This window comes from Homo sapiens, chromosome 6 (genome assembly GCF_000001405.40).
Source record: "Homo sapiens chromosome 6, GRCh38.p14 Primary Assembly".
NCBI lineage: Eukaryota > Metazoa > Chordata > Mammalia > Primates > Hominidae > Homo > Homo sapiens.
In genome coordinates this window covers 122573922-122593982 of record NC_000006.12, presented here as the reverse complement: position 1 = coordinate 122593982, position 20061 = coordinate 122573922, and the positions used below count along the sequence as shown (strand labels likewise).

The window sequence follows — 20061 nt, the reverse complement described above, 5'->3', positions numbered from 1 at the left end:
AAAGGGTGGACTTGTGTTGGTTAATACTGAGTGTCAACTTGATTGCATTGAAGGATACAAAGTATTGATCCTGGGTGTGTCTGTGAGGGTGTTGCCAAAAGAGACTAACATTTGAGTCAGTGGGCTTGGGAAGGCAGATCCATCCTTAATCTACAGGACACTATTCTGAGATAACCAGCCTATTCTCAACTCTGTTCCTGACAACTTTTGTGTTCTTAACTTTTTATGTCTAAATTTTCATATAAAATTGTAATTAATATTATCATTCCTCTATAAAATTAAGTAAGGCTTTTACATTAGATTTGAATGAAATCAGTCTTAACTAGGATTGTATTGAAATACCATCTATATTGCCTTTGAAAAGCTTTAACAATTGTGAATATTATGTTTACAAATTATTCATTATCAACAAGGGAACAGATTTTGAGCTGTGCTCTGGAATTCACGTAATAAAGTCACTATCAATAGCAATGCTGAGGCTACATCTCAAGGAGAGGGACAAATAAAAAATATTTTTCAGTTCTATGGTGATAGTCTTCTCAGCTTTTACATTAACTTAATGACTTAATGGTTCCTTATTAATGAATGTCTCCATTTCCCCACTAAATATTTCTACAATATTTATCTATAAACAGTCTATATAAATTTGTTTCAAAAAAATAAAAAGCATATAAACTTGCTGCAGCCAACTTTTTTCTACCGCTGCCCCTGGATTATATCGGGTCATCTGGAGCATCCAAAATAAAGAAAGTTAAAAAGCACAGGTACATAAAGAAATTCTCTATTTTCTCCAAAACCTATGTGCACAAATCTGTAGACACAGTTGGCCTGGTGTGTTAGATTTAGTTTCATTCCAGTAAACAAATTCTCTCAGTAAAGGGACAATTTATGGCTGAAAATAGTAGCTTGACACCACACACCTTAACCATCAAAACTTTAGTCTGTGAATGTTTAGGAAAGCCAGTGACCTCTAAACATTTGTAAATTTAATATCAAAAATGTTAACGTTACTTGACCCCAAATATTAGAGTTATGTACATTATTGTTACCTGAGACCCCAAACCAGTAGAATTGGTAGTACTGGGAGTTTGTTAGAAATATAAGATCTCAGACCCCATCTCAGAACTACTAAATCACAATCTGCATTTCACAAGATCACTATTTGATTTGTAAACCCATTAAAGTTTGAAAAGCACTGCTGTACTTGCATCCTTAACTCAGTGGCTAATCCCTTGAGATTTTACTCTAGATAAACTGTGCTTCTTTTACTCTAGGTTAACAAAGCTTCTTTTACTCTAAAAAAGGCAATGGCTTTCATCTTTGCACCATAATCTTAGTGTTTACGTTTTTCTGATTTCTGTGATGACAAATGTAATTTATAGGCAAAGTTTCAGGTGGGTGAGAGAAGTGATGTGGGACACCATTCAAGAAAGCAGGGATTTTTCTTTCCTGAAAATGTGTTCCTGATCTCTTGACTGAAAATTATCAGACACTATATTGCTAGACGATATTTAAAATGCAACTTCTTCATGATTCTTTTAAAGACCAAAATTTTTCAGAATTTACTCAAACCCTAACTTAAGATAAACCAGTTTTCATTTTTCTGATGGAAAGGTTGCATACAGTTGTTCAAAACCAGTCATAATAATAGAAATTTAAATCCAGAAAGTATGCTAGTCAGTCCATCCATCTCCTTTGCATTTTACAGGAAGTAATTTGCAAAAATTTTTAGAATTCATTATTTATCCTCTATGTAAATGATGCCCTGCCAGCTTCCAAAATAAATTTATTATTCTAAAAGATTACATATATGAAATACAATTATTTAATTAGATTTATTTTTTAATGTAAAGGGGAATCAAATAGGTGTACCAACCACCTCAGCTGTGTTTACTGAAATTGACCATTAAGTTAGAATCTTCATTAAGTTCAGGAAAAGGAAACTAAGGTTAAAAAAAAAAAAGGGAAAAGAGACTACATAGCAAGTTAGCATTTTCAATACCACGTGTTGAATCCCAGTTGAGGACATTAATAACCAAATAGTTCACTTTGTTTTTTAAAACCTTATATATGGATGATTAAAAAAAAAAAAAAAACTAGCCAGGCACAGTGACACACTCATGTAATTCCTGTAATTCCAGCTACTAGGTGGCTGAAGAGGGACGATTGCTTAAGCCCAGCAAGTTGAGGCTGCAGTGAGCCATGATCATGCCACTGCACTCCAGCCTGGGCAACAGAGTGAGATTTTGTCTCAAAAAAATAAAAATAATAAATAAATACATACAAACCACATATAAATGATCAATTTGAACCAGATTTTTATCTGAAGGGTTACATTTCTACAAAATGAAAGATGCTTAGATTTGGCTCAGCATCATACTAATGTATTGAATTAGAATAATACTATTCTACTGAATGAAGTCTAATATACAAAAATAATCTCATTGGCTAAATGAATGAAAACGATAAGAGAAAAGATATAATTTAACTTTTTTAAAAAGGACAAAACAAAATACTGGATTATTGACTTGGACTTCAACTAACACCTTGACAATTGACTTAGACGTTCAAATCTATGGGGTGTTATGCAAAGAATGGTGAATAGATATTAACCATTTTAGTAAAGGAAGAAGAGGAAATCAGTATGTCAATGCAAAAAAACTGAAAATCAGTAACTTCCAGTAGCCCTTCAGTTATTCATAGGAAAGGCATATAGTTAGAAAACGTTTGTCTAATCTGGGAAAACGTGTGTGTATGTGGGGGGTGTGTGTGTGTGTGTGTGTGTGTCGAGAGATAGGAATTAGATGTGGGGGGGGACCTTCCTTGCTATACAATTTTTAAGGAGAAGCTGGAGCCTGTGGAATTTCCTAATTTAGAGATAACTTTAATAGGTGGATAAACTATAATCTGTCAGATGTCTGAAATCAGGGTTTGTTTTTTTGTTTGTCTGTTTTTTTTTTTAAAAAAAGGCAAAACTCGTGAAAGATACTCCATGATAAGCAAGGGCAATTCTAAAGAAACCACACAACTGTGGAGTGATTTAGCATTGGCAGACACCTTCTACACTTTTATCTCAATCCCTTTTCTCCCAAATCTTTGCCAACAGAAGTCATTACCCTTTGTGGGCAGAGGGCAGCCCTGTGGACCACACGCTAAGCATGCATCACCTCCCCACCATCACCTTTATCTCCAGCCTCTCCCTGGCTTTGCTCCAACTCTCCCTTTTTTCTTGGGCATGCTAGACCAAGAGAAATATCTGATGGTTCTGCCCTTCTCTAAACTTGAAAAATGCACTATGGAGATAAAATTCTCATATCTTTGGTGTCTATATTCACCAAGTTAACTAAAGAGCTAAATAATCTACACCTTGTTTTGCAGAACACTAATAAAAGGCTATCATTTTGCAGTCTGCCTACATTTATACACTTCCACTGGAGGGAGAAAAAAGTAACTCTTCTGTAGCTTACTGAGCACTTGCAGAGCTAATTGCTTTTCTTTTATTACTTCATTTATTACCTCTTTAGAGCAATCTGTGAGGTATGCAGTATTATTGTCTTCAAAAAAAGAGTAAACTGAGGTACAGATAGAGTAAATAACTTACCCAAGATCTTAAAATCTGTAAATGGTGGAACCAGGTTTCAAAATTTAGATACATCTGAGCCTGTGATCTTAACCTCCACACTATATAGCTTCCCATAAATAAACCTCACAAAGTTTCACTGTGAATGATTTTTTATGTAAAATAGCTATTCATGAAGCTCTTCTTCCTATAAATAAGGCATCATTTCAAAATGACATGTTTGCCTGCAGCAGGCTCAGAGCTTAGAAAGATAATATTTTAATCAGATACCACTCATCCTTACCAATAATTTGGCATTTCTGAATACTTTACCGTTTTCCCAAAAGTGTGTATTTAAAATCCCCCTTTTGTTCTGTCCTGATTTTTACTCATTTTTTTCTGATTTCTATTAATATCAAAACATATATTATGATTATGCACAGAAGCATCAAAAGATAATATATTTCAGAATAACCAAAGACTGAAAATTCTGAACTTTAACAGAGACTATGCATTGCAAATATTTGAGGATCACTTATTTGAACTTGAAGAAAATTGGTTTCCTGTTATTAACTAAATTGGCTCTGTTGGTAAAAACGTGACTACCTTAACTGTCTTCTTTCATTGCTGCCCCCTTATTCTTTGTTATTTTCTTTTTCCTGTAATAATGAAATATCAATAACTTATTTATGTTATCTGCTTTGTGAAACATGAGCCGGCCTAGAATGACAACCTCTTTTCCCACATCTGCATATTCTCTCCTTGCCCCTAGTCTAAGATCATGTCAAACAGGGACATATTAAGCTTTTATTGGATAATGTGCTTTAACCAACTTGTTTTTACATTACACTGATACATTTATAAATACATTTTATTTTTTTACAAATTTAAGACATGGAGATGAAATCAAATCACCTTTGACAGCCACCTTCAACTTTTAGTCCCACCATCCTCATAGGTGACTATCTCTATCTCAGTTTAACATATTTAATTCCCACCCTTTGTTAATGCTTTTACACACACATCACATGGATCTAGATATATTATATAATATTGCTTTTTACATGGCTATGTGTTGTACACACTGTAATACAACATCCTGGAATTCAGCTGTTTTTGCCAAACATAGGTATGACTCATTCTTTTAAATTGTTGCATAGTATTTCATGGAATAAAAATATTAACATTTATTTAACCATTCCCCTACGCAAAAACATTTAAGTTCTCTCCACAACTTTATTATTACAAACATTGCTGCAACATCCTTTTTTATGAATCCTTATAAACATGCATTACTCTAGGGTAGATATTGAGAAGTAAAATTTCTAGGTTGTGGCATACATCTTAGTTGAAGAGATATTCCTGTGCTAGGAAGTTATATTAGGTCATAAAGGCTCAGCACTAAAATAACAACCTCTTCAATCCTGTAGTCTAGAGTTATAGGAAGTCTATCAGTTTGGCAGCAGTTGTATTTTTCTGATGGAAAACACATTGCAGTGGGAATCAAAAGAAACCAAGACTAACCCTTTCTGCTGCTGATTAGAAGTTGTGCAGCCTCTCCAAGTTTCTGTTTCTTTGTCTTCAGTAATTTGGAGATAGGACTAGATTATTTCTCAGAAATTTATATATCTACATGACATATTTCTGTTCTTAAGTTATTCATTCACTGAACAAGAATATACAAGGCATATATAAGAGTCTACAATGTTTCCTTAAGGAATTAACAAGAAATAATACCAGAAAACAAAGCAATGTGTAAACAGATATTTATACAAATACACGAAGGCTGCAAAATGTGTGATTTTTTAAAAAACTACAAAAAATTCTGTTCCATTGGTCTACATCTCTGTTTTGGTACCAGTACCATGCTGTTTTGGTTACTGTAGCCTTGTAGTATAGTTTGAAGTCAGGTAGTGTGATGCCTCCAGCTTTGTTCTTTTGGCTTAGGATTGACTTGGCAATGCAGGCTCTTTATTGGTTCCATATGAACTTTAAAGTAGTTTTTTCCAATTCTGTGAAGAAAGTCATTGGTAGCTTGATGGGGATGGCATTGAATCTAGACCAATGGAACAGAACAGAGACCTCAGAAATAATGCTGCATATCTACAACTATCTGATCTTTGACAAACCTGACAAAAAGGATTCCCTATTTAATAAATGGTGCTGGGAAAACTGGCTAGCCATATGTAGAAAGCTGAAACTCGATCCCTTCCTTACACCTTACACAAAAATTAATTCAAGATGGATTAAAGACTTAAATATCAGCCCTAAAACCATAAAAACCATAGAAGAAAACCTAGGCAATACCATTCAGGACATAGGCATGGGCAAGGACTTCATGTCTAAAACACCAAAAGCAATGGCAACAAAAGCCAAAACTGACAAATGGGATCTAATTAAACTAAAGAGCTTCTGCACAGCAAAAGAAACTACCATCAGAGTGAACAGGTAACCTACAGAATGGGAGAAAATTTTTGCAATCTACTCATCTGACAAAGGGCTAATATCCAGAATCTACAATGAACTCAAACAAATTTACAAGAAAAAAACAACCCCATCAACAAGTAGACGAAGGATATGAACAGACACTTCTCAAAAGAAGACATTTATGCAGCCAAAAGACACATGAAAAAATGCTCATCATCACTGGCCATCAGAGAAATGCAAATCAAAACCACAATGAGGTACCATCTCACACCAGTTAGAATGGCGATCATTAAAAAGTCAGGAAACAACAGGTGCTGGAGAGGATGTGGAGAAATAGGAACACTTTTACACTGTTGGTGGGGCTGTAAACTAGTTCAACCATTGTGGAAGTCAGTGTGACAATTCCTCAGGGATCTAGAACTAGAAATACCATTCGACCCAGCCATCCCATTACTGGGTATATACCCAAAGGATTATAAATCATGCTGCTATAAAGACACATGCACACGTATGTTTATTGCAGCACTATTCACAATAGCAAAGACTTGAAACCAACCCTAATGTCCAACAATGATAGACTGGATTAAGAAAATGTGGCACATATACACCATGGAATACTATGCAGCCATAAAAAAGGATGAGTTCATGTCCTTTGTAGGGACATGGATGAAGCTGGAAACCATCATTCTCAGCAAACTATCGCAAGGATAAAAAACCAAACACCGCATGTTCTCACTCATAGGTGGGAATTGAACAATGAGAACACATGGACACAGGAAGGGGAACATCACATACCGGGGCCTATTGTGGAGTGGGAGGACGGGGGAGGGATAGCATTAGGAGATCTACCTAATGCTAAATGAAGAGTTCATGGGTGCAGCACACCAATATGGCACATGTACACATATGTAACAAACCTGCACATTGTGCACATATACCCTAAAACTTAAAGTACAATAAAAAAAAAACCACATTGCTTATTTAGTTTGTTTTATTTAATAAAGAGGCTGCTTGGTACCCTTCTCTGCAAACATTATATACTGGAGTGAAGTTATCGCTCCCTCCTACCACCCCACCCAGGTGGAGGCAGAGGGAAATTTGTTATAACAGTTGCTTAATATATTTTCTGTGGCCCTAAAGCTGTAATTTCCTGGAAATGCAGTGCCCAGTACTGAGAGAGTTCTTGGAGTTGTTTCTTATGTTCTCCAGATTCTAGCTTCCCAAATCTGTTTAAGACCCATCTGCTCCGTTGTCTGCCTAAACATAAGCCCTTCCCTTGGCTATATCATCAATTATAAGGAGTACACACACATGCGAAATAAAGAAGGGGTCAGTAGAGGGGAAGTACAGGGAAAGGACTTTCTCAAAAAGAGACTTTGGTGAATTTAATACTCAGTAAAGACTGAAGAGAAAAATATAACCATTTTTTAATCCACATTTTTCAAGATTTCTGCTCTTTAGCACTGAGCCTACACATTCTCTTCATTTATTTAAACTCTCTTTGAAGTTGTAGTAGCATCAAAGGCAAAAGGACTATATGAGGACAAAAACATGAATCAAAATAAAGACAACGTAATTTGTAATGTGGAATTATCAGTCAGCTGAAAGGACAGATGGGAATAAATTATAGAAAATATAGTTACATTAAAATGAGAAAAATCATATGATGGTATCAAGACTGCACTTAACAATCACAACACAAATAATGAAAAACCTAACCAGGACAGAACCATAAATAAGTTTGATAATGCCATCCTTGGTTCAACAGATCACAGTTTACTTTCAATTTAGACAGTGTCTACCCACACAAAGTGGAAACTTGAAGCACTCTCTTGAGTAGATGATTTTTAAAGCAAGATTTCACAAAACATGTCAATTGTATCAACTTGTTTAATTCAGTTATGGGAATGTTTATTATGCACCAGGCATTCTATTAGCTGCTAGGCACATAAACATGACAAAACGTGATCACTACCAAAAAGATGTTACCTTCCATAGGAAGTATGTATGTCCAAGTTCTCAAATCTCAAAATCAAATTAATTTCAGAGTGTGTCATCTTTAAACGAAAGAAAAACCTAAGAGAGAGAAAGAGAAAAACAAGTTATACATACATTTTACAAAGGTTCAGCATAATTAACATAACACGTAAGTAATAACACCCCAAACACATTAGGAATAACCGTTCTGGATAATTCAAGAAAATATATTGTTGCACATTTTAAAAAATTTTGTAACAAAATGCTTGGAGGAAGCAGGATAGTGGCATGGAAAGAACATTGGACCAGAAGTAAAGAAATTAGGTTTTAACTATTGTTTTTTCAATAATTTGCAGTGTTCACTTACATAATTAATTTCACTTCTATAGACTTAATGTTTCTTTAGCTTTAGACTGTTGAATTTAATCTTATTAAAGACCAAAAAGAAAACTATAACAATTTTTACCATTTTTAAGATTCCTCTCCTTTAGCACTGAGCCTTGTGGAGCCTTGACCTTGTGAGACCTCTATTCCAGTGAGAGAGAAAAGAAATTAAAATTATCTCTGGCCCCTTTTAGCTTTAGCCCAACAACTAAGTCAACTGTTAGAAAAGTACCAGGTGAAGGGTAGTCCTAACAGGCCAAGTGAAGTTGAAAGATGTTCAATTATTCAGTAGACCATCTGCTGCTATTTGTATACCTTATTGTACAGGAGACTCTTGCATTGATCATAAAGGTGCAGGGCAGACAAGTCTTAAAATTGGGGCTTAGCCCAGGAGGGTTCTTGGCTTTGCTAAGGAAAACATTCAAGGGTGAGCTGGTGGTGTTAGACATCAACTTTTATTGAAGTGACAGCATACAGCAGCAGCGGAGGTGCTGTTTCTTGGAGAGTACGGCTATCCTATATGCAGTGTGCCCAGAATAGCAGCTCAGAGGCAGTCCTGCAGTCATATGTATACCCACTTTTAATTATATGCAAATTAAGGGACAGATTATGCAGAAATTTCTAGAAAAAGAGTGGTAACTTTCATGCTGTTAGGTTATTGACATGGAAAGGGGCAGTAACTTACAGATGTTGCCATGGCAATGGTAAACTGACATGGCACATTGGTGGGCTTGTCTTATGGAGAGATGTTTCTGCCCCATCCCTGTTTTACCTAGTCCCCATTGTGTCCCAGTGTCTGAGCCCCTCCACAGTTGCATCCCACGTCCTATCTCAGTAACACTTTGTGAATACAGTATTTAATAAATTTAATATTTTGAGATAACAGTAAATTAAACAGACAATTCATACTTAGTTTCAATCTTCCATTTCAAGATTCTTTCTTAATAAATTGAAGCCACTTTTCTAAGCATAAAAAATGGTAAATATAATTCAATTTTTCTTCAGTTCTGTTCATTAAAACTGTATTTAAGTCTACATGACATAAAAGTTAATAATCTCTGAGACCTATTTCTTTACTTAATTTTTGCGTATTTCTTATAAATTTGGAATGCAGTGGAAAAGAATCCCACTAGGTAGTTAGTCAGTATATTACAGGCCTCTAACTTGCTGCTATAATATTTATTTAATGAATTCATTCACACAAATCAAAACACCTCATTGAAATTCTATTTATGGCTTACTTAATTTATGATTATCATTTCCAACAGATATTTCACTTTTTTATTGACATATTTAATCTCTGGTTTGTAGATGTAAATTTGAACTTATTCATTTGATGTTACCATGAGATAAGAAAAAAATAATCCTTATTTGGTGAAATATGTAGCAATAAGATGGAGATACTATCCTGAGATCTTGTGCATGCTTAATAACTTAACCATTTTTACATTCTCCCCTTTTCTCATATATTTTCTTTCTGATTAGACTGTGCATGTTTTAATTAGTTTTTTCACACTGTCAACCTTTAAATAGCCATTTGCCTCACTCACAATCCTTAATGATGTGTAATCTCTCACGGGTAAAATTAAATCAATTCAGCTACCAGAAAAATACCAGAGAAATAAATAGATAAGACTTTCCCTCATTCTTCTATGACTTCCCAAGTTAGACACTCCCACACTGCAAAGACACTAACTACTAAATCTCCAGTTCTTCATCCAAGTGAAACTGCGAAAAGGGGCATAGCCCAGCATAAAAAAGGAAGTCTGACAAGCCTAACAGTTGGCCTCTTTGCTCTATTCTCACTAGTCTCAGAGGTCTCTAAGGAACTACTTACCTCTCAAGTCAAGAAGTAATCATTTTAAGTCAATGAAAATGAATAAACTAATCTAGAATGGGTAATCATTGTTATTGATATTAATACCATCATTATGATTAATGGTGTTTATTAGAGGTGATATTTGTGCCAAGAAGATAACTGAAAAGACAGACTAGAATTAACATTACAAAATGTATATGTGCGTATTCAGTGTGAGGGGATTTTCTTAAAGTAAGCAGTGGGAAGGGGTGTAGTAGCATACTAAAGTAATAGCAGCAAAAATTTCGTGGAACAGCCTGGAAAGCAAAGAAGAATCCTAAAGAGGTATTTCAGAAAGTCATTTGTGAATAATTTTATTTTGCAAGATGAATTTTAGGTCTCACCTTTAATATGTATCTTATTGGCATATTACCCATGTCATTATTAGAATAAAAATTCTCAATTCTGGGAACAATTAAAATTGCTATTAAGAATGTATAAGTCCTTCCCTAGAAATGCTTGGGCATGCCTATCTCACAGTTTGCTGCCTGCATAATGTAGAAGATATTATTAAGATTTCTGTTTAAGGCTAGAAATAAAATGTTTCTGAAATATATTTTGCAAATAAAATTATTAAATGCTCTATTGTTTCTTTCAAAATAATCTTCACTAAAGCTTCGTTTGTTTGACCTCAACAGTGTATTATACAATGAAATCAAAACATAATCAACCTATTTAAGATAAATAGAAAAAAGGAAAAGAAAGAAAACACTTGGGGTATAAATGTTTTTTCTATCTTGATTGTTAAGACTATTCTATATCTTATATTAATATTTCTTCATATGACTAAGTATTAATCAATATTCAGAAGATGATTATGAAAACAGGAAAATATGATACAACTTGCATAGCCAAAGAAAACAAAATGCAAGAATAATGTGACCATATTCTAGTCTTTCATTCAGTAACTATTTCCTTAGTAATTACTATGTGTTAGGTACTGTTTTAGGTCTTGGGATACATAAGAGAACAAAAAAACACAAAAATCCCTGACCTCGTGGAGCCTCTATTACAGTCTGTACTTAAACATGTTTATATGTAATATTAACCTGGCCATGAGTTCCTTTATCACAAGCAGTACAAAAGAAATGCACTTTCTATCAACACCTCAACACAGCTTCAAAGAAGGTAGCTTCTGTTATAAGAACATAGGATAGAAAAGATAACTGGTTACATATCTATATGTCTAGCCCCTCCATCAGATAATACCATTTCTAGCTCAACCTCTTTGAGGGACATGTTTATAATACAAACATTAGTGCAAATGGCTTTTGAGAAAAATAAAATTCAGACTTTGGATTCAGAAATGTTTAATGTCACATTATGGAATATAAACATTTTTTGGCCTTTGGAGTCATTCCTAATCATTCTCATCTGGATGAAAGCCACGAGCCAACAACTGGATGGGTTGTTAAACAGTAGCCACATCTCCTTATCCCTCTCTTACATTATTTCACTTGCTTTTTTTGTGGCAAATAGGAGAAAATAAGGGAAGTCCACAGTGGTATGACTAAGTTCTGCTTGGTGAAGAATAGCTACTAAATTCTGAGACATTCCAGCCCTGCTTAAGAATGACCTGGATGATTTTAGGACTTTAACTTTTTTCTATTAGGATATAACTGTTACCATGTTAGTTCCATAAAGATGACAAAAAATAAGCAACTACAAAGTCCTCATCTATCATCAAGAAGTGCAAATGTTTTTCAAGCAACTGCTATGTACATCACGTTATATGGCTCATAGTGGTAAAAGACCATCTCTGCAGTATAAATTTGTAAGAGAACATAAACACTTAAAAAATTAAAATGATGTCATATCCCACACCTACACTCATTGCTCACCTTCCATTGAGACCACACTTGCCCATAGAGATAGAAAGCTAGAAAAAAACTTTACATTTGTAATGGATAGAAAGATGGCAGTATCATCATAGCTCAATCTTCATGGCTCAATCAGTGAATGTTGACTCGGTAGTCAGAAACATCTGGCACAATTAAAGATTTTTAATGGTCCCTGCCCACAAAGGAGATTAAGACATCATAAGGAAGAAAAACAGAAAAAAAAATACAATAAATGCAAATGCACCTAGGTAAATCACAGAATTAAAAGAACAAAGCACGTTAAAAGGAGGATTATGTTTGTGTAAGAGAAAATGAATTAATTTTAAACCTTTAATCTTGATGCTTAAAATTTTAGGGATTTTGGTAATTGCTTTCCAACATTTATATGGCAAGTTATTTAAATTAACCTAGTCTTGCTATTTTTCATTCCAAATCTATTTAAGTCCTTTGTGAGGCTCTCTGACCAAGTAATTTGCATTAATTCTTATTTTCTTTTCAGCTTTTCATGCTTAACAATGCCTAGTTTTAATAATAACTAACAATCATAAGTCAAGATGGAAAGGATAGTCTTATATTGTAAAAGAAATGTTATAACAAAAACAACTTCGAGATGACTGATAAAGTAGGAAGAAATTCTCTACATTGAAACCAACATTTCCCAGGAAATCTTACATTGCAATACCAAGAAATTGCTTCAGACCTGAAACATCTATTCTGTCCTCTATGTAGAAAAATGATGATGGTATTATAATGGTTAAATTCTTCCAAATCACAGTGTGACGCAGTAGTTAAATTTTTATTTCCACAAAATTACTAGAGCTATTTGAAGAGTTAGTTGATATTCCGCCTGTGCAATAACTAAAAGTCCCTGGCTCTGGTGGGACTCGAGGTATATCTCCAGCCTGTGATTGATGGAAGATCCTGGGTATTTGGCAGGCTACAGTCTGTAATACAGAATCTGCACCATCCACCTAGTGGTAGCACAGACAAGAATTGATGATAATGACTGTTTCCCCATCAACTATGACTCACATGTTTTCTAGAGGGTGTAAAAGAAAAGATTGACCACAGGTTATGTCAGACAAGGTATTCAGTGCAATTTGGTAAAAACAAACAACCCTTCCTGTTTCGTTTATCCATTAACATTTCATTCTGGAGGCTCACTAAAACAGATTCAATCTTTTTTAAAAGTTGGTGGGGGGAAGGTGGTATGCTGGGAACTAAGAAGATACAAGACAAAATAATATATTTTCTGCTGCTTGTAGTGTATAGTGCATATAGATATGATACAGGATAAAACCAGTCCCCAAGTTTCAGCAGCCTGAAAAGCCTAGTGTTCAGGGAGGCTTTACAATCTGAGATGGGGCAAACCCTATGTAGGCAAACAATTCACTTTAATATTATGCTAAGGAAAAAGCCAGTTAATCTTTACAGAAGAAGAGAATGAGAAAAAGCATAACATAGGTGAAATGTATTTTAATAGTTCACTTAATGAATAACATACTAATGGGCAATAAGCTTAGCAATTACCTTTATTTAATATAATAGATAAAAACAAATAACATCATTAGATGCCAACATCATTTTCCAGAGGTCCCAGTTTCCCATCAAAATCAACCAAGTTCCAATTTCTAGAGCTTTATTTGTTTTCTGTAATTTATAATTTAAGATAGTAGAAAATGTTTGCATGCTTAGACTCCACGTGAAACATTTCTGCCTAAAGAAGAATCCTCAAGCAAATATGTTTGAATTTGACTACATTCACATAGAACTTTCTAGTTTTTTTGAAGATAGAAAAACAAATTTTAAATGCTTTTATATATCAAACTAGCAACACAGGTCAAATATAAAAATAGTGATGAAATAATTTCAGTAAAAATTCACTGAACATAATTTTTTACTTTAAAAATTAAATGAGAGGTATTAATTTTACTGAATAGAAAGCACCTTAAGACCTATTTTTAATAATCTTAGAACAAGGCTAACTACAATATGTATCTATATACGATGTCTTCTTTTATTTGCACCTTAATTTCTCTGACTGAGAAGAAACCAGCTGTGTTTAATTGACGTTTGTTAAACACATTGTGTCAAGGTGCAGATAAGATTTATTTATGTGGCTACTTGTGTGAGAATAATTCAGATTTCTCCAAGCTGAACCTGAAGAGGTTGCTGCTTTATTTGCAGTAAAAATATTCTTTATTTACAACCTGATCTTGATACATGGGGCCTAGAGAAAATACTAGAGAGTAATTTTCATTTTGTTGTATAGTACTTTTCATTAGGAACTGATACATCTCAAATTTTAAAATTTGAATAAATCATAAAATACATGATATTTTAAAAAATAATACTTTGCTTTTTTACTAATTATTGATTAAAGAGCCATAAATATGAGTAATATACAAATTCCTGCTCTGGAAAGTGCTGTAATGTAGTACAGAAAATTAAAATTATATGTTCTTGTAACAGAAAGGATGCAGCACAAAAATACAAAAGTATTGTAAAAGTTTAAACAAGAGAAAAGGCCCTAAGAATTTGATGTACCAGAGATCTTTACAGAGGGATGAAGATAGGTTAGGGCATATGGGATAGAGGAGGAAAGGGAGGATATTCCATGCACCGCAAACACAATTGCAAAGATATGAAGATGGAAAAGCAGGTGTTGTGTCAGGGCATCAGTGGAAAGGCCAGTTTTATTAGAATGTAAGAAGACTATAAGGAAGTCATTGAAAATAAACTTTGGAAAGTAGGTGGTAGGTAAATTATGGCAACCTTGAACTCCTGAGTAGATTCTGAAGTCATGAGAAGTCATGAAAATGGTTGGAGCAGGGGAAGTGTACTAGTCCATTCTCAAGCTGCTGATGAACACATACCCAAGACTGGGTAATTTATAAAGGAAAGAAGTTTAATTGACTCACAGTTCAGCATGGCTGGGAGGCCTCAGGAAACTTGCAATCATGGCAGAATGGAAAGCTAACATGTTCTTCTTTACATGGTGGCAGGAAGGAGAAAAAGGAGCAAAAGAGGGAAAAGCCTCTTATGAAACCATCAGTTCTTGTGAGAACTCACTTACTATCATGAGAACAACAGCATGAGGGTAACTGACCCCATGATTCGTTTACCTTCCACCAGGTCCCTCCCACGACACATGGAGATTATGGGAACTACAATTCAAGATGAGATTTGGGTGGGGACACAGCCAAGCCATATCAGGAAGTGATATAATTAGGCCTGGCTATCAAGAGTAACATTATTAACCATGCACAATGTGAGACAGGCTCTGTGGGCCCAGGCAAGGAGCAACAGAGACCAAGATCAGGGTAGTGACTGCGGAAATGGGAAGGAAGGAAAGATGGCTTAGACAAAGAGAACCTGCACAACTAGGCAAATAATTTAATATAGGGAATTGAAAAGACAAAAGAACATTTTGGCATCTAGATGACTAGATAGTGTTATAATTCATCACAATAGATTAAGTCCAGAGGAAAATTAGTTTTGCATGGGAAATTGATGAGCTCCATTTTGAACACGTAGAATTCAAAATGCTTGAAAGATACCGAAAAGGAAAGGTTAAATAAAATAAGATAAAAATACACAATAAAAAACAACTATGTCACCTTTTTGTTCATGTAAGTAGCAAACTTACCACTTTGAAGCAGAAGCATCATACGTGATGCTAACTTATTTTCCAAATCCTGTGAAAATGTTTTCGTTGAACCCTGATTTAATTTTTAGCCATGGTTCCCAGCCTCATTTTACTCACATTTAAAGTAGAATCCATCTTCCTGGACATTTCTATCTACATTTCCTTCTAATTTAAACAGTATTTCTTAACTTCTCATAAATCAGATTGTTTCTCTCTTTAAAACTATCCTGTAATAATTCCTGCCCACTAAGTTTTACCCCTTTATCTTAAATTTTACAAAAAAAAAACTCCTCTAACTATGCTTTTGTCTGTTTATCCCAGTTAATGTGTTCTAAATAAATGTATTTCTTTTTTCTTTTCTTTTCTTTTTTTTTTTTTTGAGACGGAGTCTTGCTCTGTCGCCCAGACTGGAGTGCAGTGGCGTGATCTCAGCTCACTGCAAGCTCTGCCTCCCGGGTTCACGCCATTCTCCTGCCTCAGCCTCCTGAGTATCTGGGACTACAGGCGGCCACCACCACGCCCGGCTAATTTTTTGTATTTTTAGTAGAGACGGGGTTTCACTGTGTTAGCCAGGATGGTCTCGATCTCCTGATCTCGTGATCTGCCCGCCTTGGCCTCCTAAAGTGCTAGGATTACAGGCATGAGCCACAGCGCCCGGCCCAATAAATGTTATTTCTTCCCCATATAAAATGAGATAAAACCATTTTATTTCCCCTCAGTGCTGGTATCTGTATTTCTTTTTTTCATGGATATTGAGAAGAAATGGGTAGTTTTTTCAAGATTAATTTGGACTTGATTTGACAACTCACAAATCTGACATCTTTTTGTGTCTTTATCACAAATGTTCATCAAATCTATTTGAAAAGCAGTGTAATGAATTACTATAAACTTCTAAGAAAAAATATACAAACAAAATGAATCCAAATTCAAGGGCCATAAATTGCTTTTTCTTTGCATTTCTCCAACCCTGCGTCCCTCATCCCAGGAAAAATTATTCCACATACTTTTTTTTAACTTAAAAGTAATGTAGGTCAGGTTTTAATCTCATTTTATTCTCTAGAACTTCTGATTTGAAATCTGCGTATGATACTATTTGGCTAAATGCTGAAATCAAGCCACCAGTGGCCCCAACATTTATGTACCCACAGCATTTTTTATATAGCCCCATATATAATGTTATAGTGTAATTATTGTTTGTCTTTCCAGTGTATTGTAAAATCTTAAAGACAGAGTCATCATGTATGGCGCAGTCCCTGACACATGGTAAGTGTTCCAATGTTTAATGAATTAATATATGAAGAAATGTATGAATGCTAGAGATAGACCTGGTGGCTGTCTAGGAATTCTTTAGATCCACCATGTTAAAATGTCATATTTATTTCCTTTATTTGCTCTCCTTCTGATAGTTTTCAATTTGTTTAATTACACACAAAGCCAGGCAAGTTATACTTAATTTAAAAACACATGCGATAATACACATATGCCTAACAAAATCAAGATGTGCTATGTTAAATAGTTCCTTTTACTTTTTTCTTTTTAAAATTAACTTTACTGAGGTATAATTATACAAAAGAAAATATATATATATATATATATATTTTTTTTTTTTTTTTTTTTTTGAGATGGAGTCTCGCTCTGTCGCTCAGGCTGGAGTGTAGTGGCGCCATCTGGGCTTCACTGCAAGCACCTCCTCCCGGGTTCACGCCATTCTCCTGCCTCAGCCTCCCGATTAGCTGGGACTACAGGCGCCTGCCACCACGCCCGGCTAATTTTTTGAATTTTTAGTAGAAACGGGGTTTCACCATGTTAGCCAGGATGGTCTTGATCTCCTGACCTCGTGATCCGCCTGCCTTGGCCTCCCAAAGTTCTGGGATTACAGGCGTGAGCCACCGCGCCCAGCCAAAATATATATTTTAAGTGTAAGGCTTAATGTATTTTGACAAATTAAAAGAACCATGTAATCATCATCACCATGTTAGCCAGGATGGTCTTGATCTCCTGACCTCGTGATCCGCCTGCCTCGGCCTCCCAAAGTTCTGGGATTACAGGCTTGAGCCACCACGCCCAGCCAAAATATATATTTTAAGTGTAAGGCTTAATGTATTTTGACAAATTAAAAGAACCATGTAATCATCATCACCATCAAGTTATAGGACATTTCCATAATCTCAAAATGTTTCTTTTACTTCTTCCCTCACTGCTGTCCCTGGTTCCAGGCAATAACTGGTCTTGTATCATTATTGATTAGATTTGTCTTTCCTAGAGTTTCATATAAATGACATTGTGTAGTGTGTACTGTTGTGTGTCTGGCTTCTTGCACTTACAGTAATGCTTTTGAGATTCATTCATGTTGTTGTATCAGTAGTTTCTTTTTTAAAATTTCAGTAGTTTTGGGGGTACAGGTGGTTTTTGCTTACACGGATAAGTTCTTTAATGGTAAATTCTGAGATTTTAGTGCACTTGTCACCCAAGCAGTACACATTGTACCCAATATATAGCCTTTTACCCCCACAACTATTCCCTCTGAGTCCACAAAGTCCATTATAGTACTGTTATGCCTTTGCATCGTTGTAGCTTAGCTCCCACTTATAAGTAAGAGCATACAATATTTGGTTTCCCATTCCAGCATTACTTCACTTAGAATAATGGCCTCTCACTCTATCCAAGCTGCTGCAAAAGTCATTATTTCATTCCTTTTTTATGGCTGAGTAGTATTCCATGGGGTATATATATCACATTTTCTTTATCCACTCGTTGGTCAATGGGCGCTTAGGTTGGTTTAATATCTCTGCAATTGCAAATTGTGCTGCTTTAAACATGAGTGTGCATGTTTTTTTTTTCATATAATGACTTACTTTCCTTTGAGTAGATACCCAGTAGTGGAACTGCTGGATCTACCACATATTGCTGCAAGATAGTTCTACTTTTAGTTATTTAAGGAATCTCCATACTGTTTTCCATCGTGGTTGTACTAATTTACATTCCCACCAGCAATATAAAAGTGTTTCCTTTTCACCACATCCATGCCAACATCTATTGTTTTTTGACTTTTTACTTAAACGGCCATTCTTGCAAGAGTAAGGTAATATCTTACTGTGGTTTTAATTTACATTTCCCTGATGATTAGCAATGGTGAGCATTTTTTCATACGTTTGTTGGCTGTTTGTGTATCTTCGTTTGAAAAATGTTTACTCATGTCCTTTGCCCACTTTTTGACAGGTTTTATTATTATTATTATTGCTGATTTGTTTGAGTTCCTTGTAGATTCTGGATACTAGTTCTTTGTCAGATGCATAGTTTGCAAATATTTTCTCCTACTCTGTGGGTTGTCTGTTACTCTACTGATTATTTCTTTTGCTGTGCAGAAGCTTTTTAGTTTAAGTAGGTCACACTTATTTATTTTTCACTTGGTTGCATTTGTTTTTGGGATATTAATAATGAATTCTTTGCCTAAGCCAAAGTCCAGAAGAGTTTTCTGATGTTATCTTCCAGAATTGTTATGATTTTAGGTCTTAGATTTAAGTCTTTGATTGATCTTGAGTTGATTTTTGTAGAAGGTGAGAGATGAGGATCTAGTTTCATTCTTCCACATGTGGCTTGCTAGTTTTCCCATCACCATTTATTGAATATACAGTTTATGTTTTTGTATGCTTTGTCGAAGATTAGTTAGCTGTAAGTATTTGGCTTTACTTCTGGGTTCTCTATGCAGTTCCATTGGTCTATATGCCTATTTTTATACCAGTGCCATGTTGTTTTGCTAATTATAGCCCTGTAGTATAATTTAAAGTTGGGTAATGTGATGCTTCTAGATTTGTTCTTTTTGCTTAGTATTGCTTTGGCTATAGGCTCTTTTGTGATTCCATATTAATTCTAGGATTGTTTTTTCTAGTTCTGTGGGGAACGATGATGGATATTTTGATGGGAATTGCATTGAATCTGTAGATTTATTTGTGAATTTGGATATTTTCACAACACTGATTCTTCCCATCCATGAGCAGGAGATGTGTTTCCATTTGTTTGTGTCATCTATGATTTCCTTCAGCAGTGTAGGTGATCTTTCACCTACTTGGTTAAGGATATTCCTAGATTTTTGTGTTCTTATTTTTATTTTTGCAGCTGTTGCAAAAGGGATTGAGTTCTTGATTTGATTCTCAGCCTAATTGTTGTTGGTGTATAGCAGTGCTACTGATTTGTGTACATTAATTTTGTAACCTGAGACTTTACTGAGTTTATCAAATGCAGGAGCTTTTTGGATGGGTCTTTGGGGTTTTCTAGGTATATGATCATATCATGGGTGAACAGAGATAGTTTGACTTCTTCTTTTCCAGTTTGGATGCCCTTTATTTATTTCTTTTGTCTGATAGCT

The 20061-nt window shown here is 34.9% G+C and overlaps 1 protein-coding gene across 4 annotated transcripts in view; it reads right to left on the bottom strand.

The window, feature by feature from the left end:
* Window positions 1-20061, bottom strand: part of PKIB (cAMP-dependent protein kinase inhibitor beta) — a 254453-nt gene that overhangs the window by 132391 nt on the left and 102001 nt on the right. For 3 of the 4 annotated variants that reach the window (NM_001270393.2, NM_001270394.2, NM_181794.3), the window contains one exon: window positions 7976-8062. The gene's annotated coding sequence lies outside the window, so the exon portion shown is untranslated. Of the gene's footprint in view, window positions 1-7975; window positions 8063-8429; window positions 12219-20061 lie in introns of all 4 variants that reach the window. The other variant, XM_047419002.1, reaches the window with a different exon arrangement.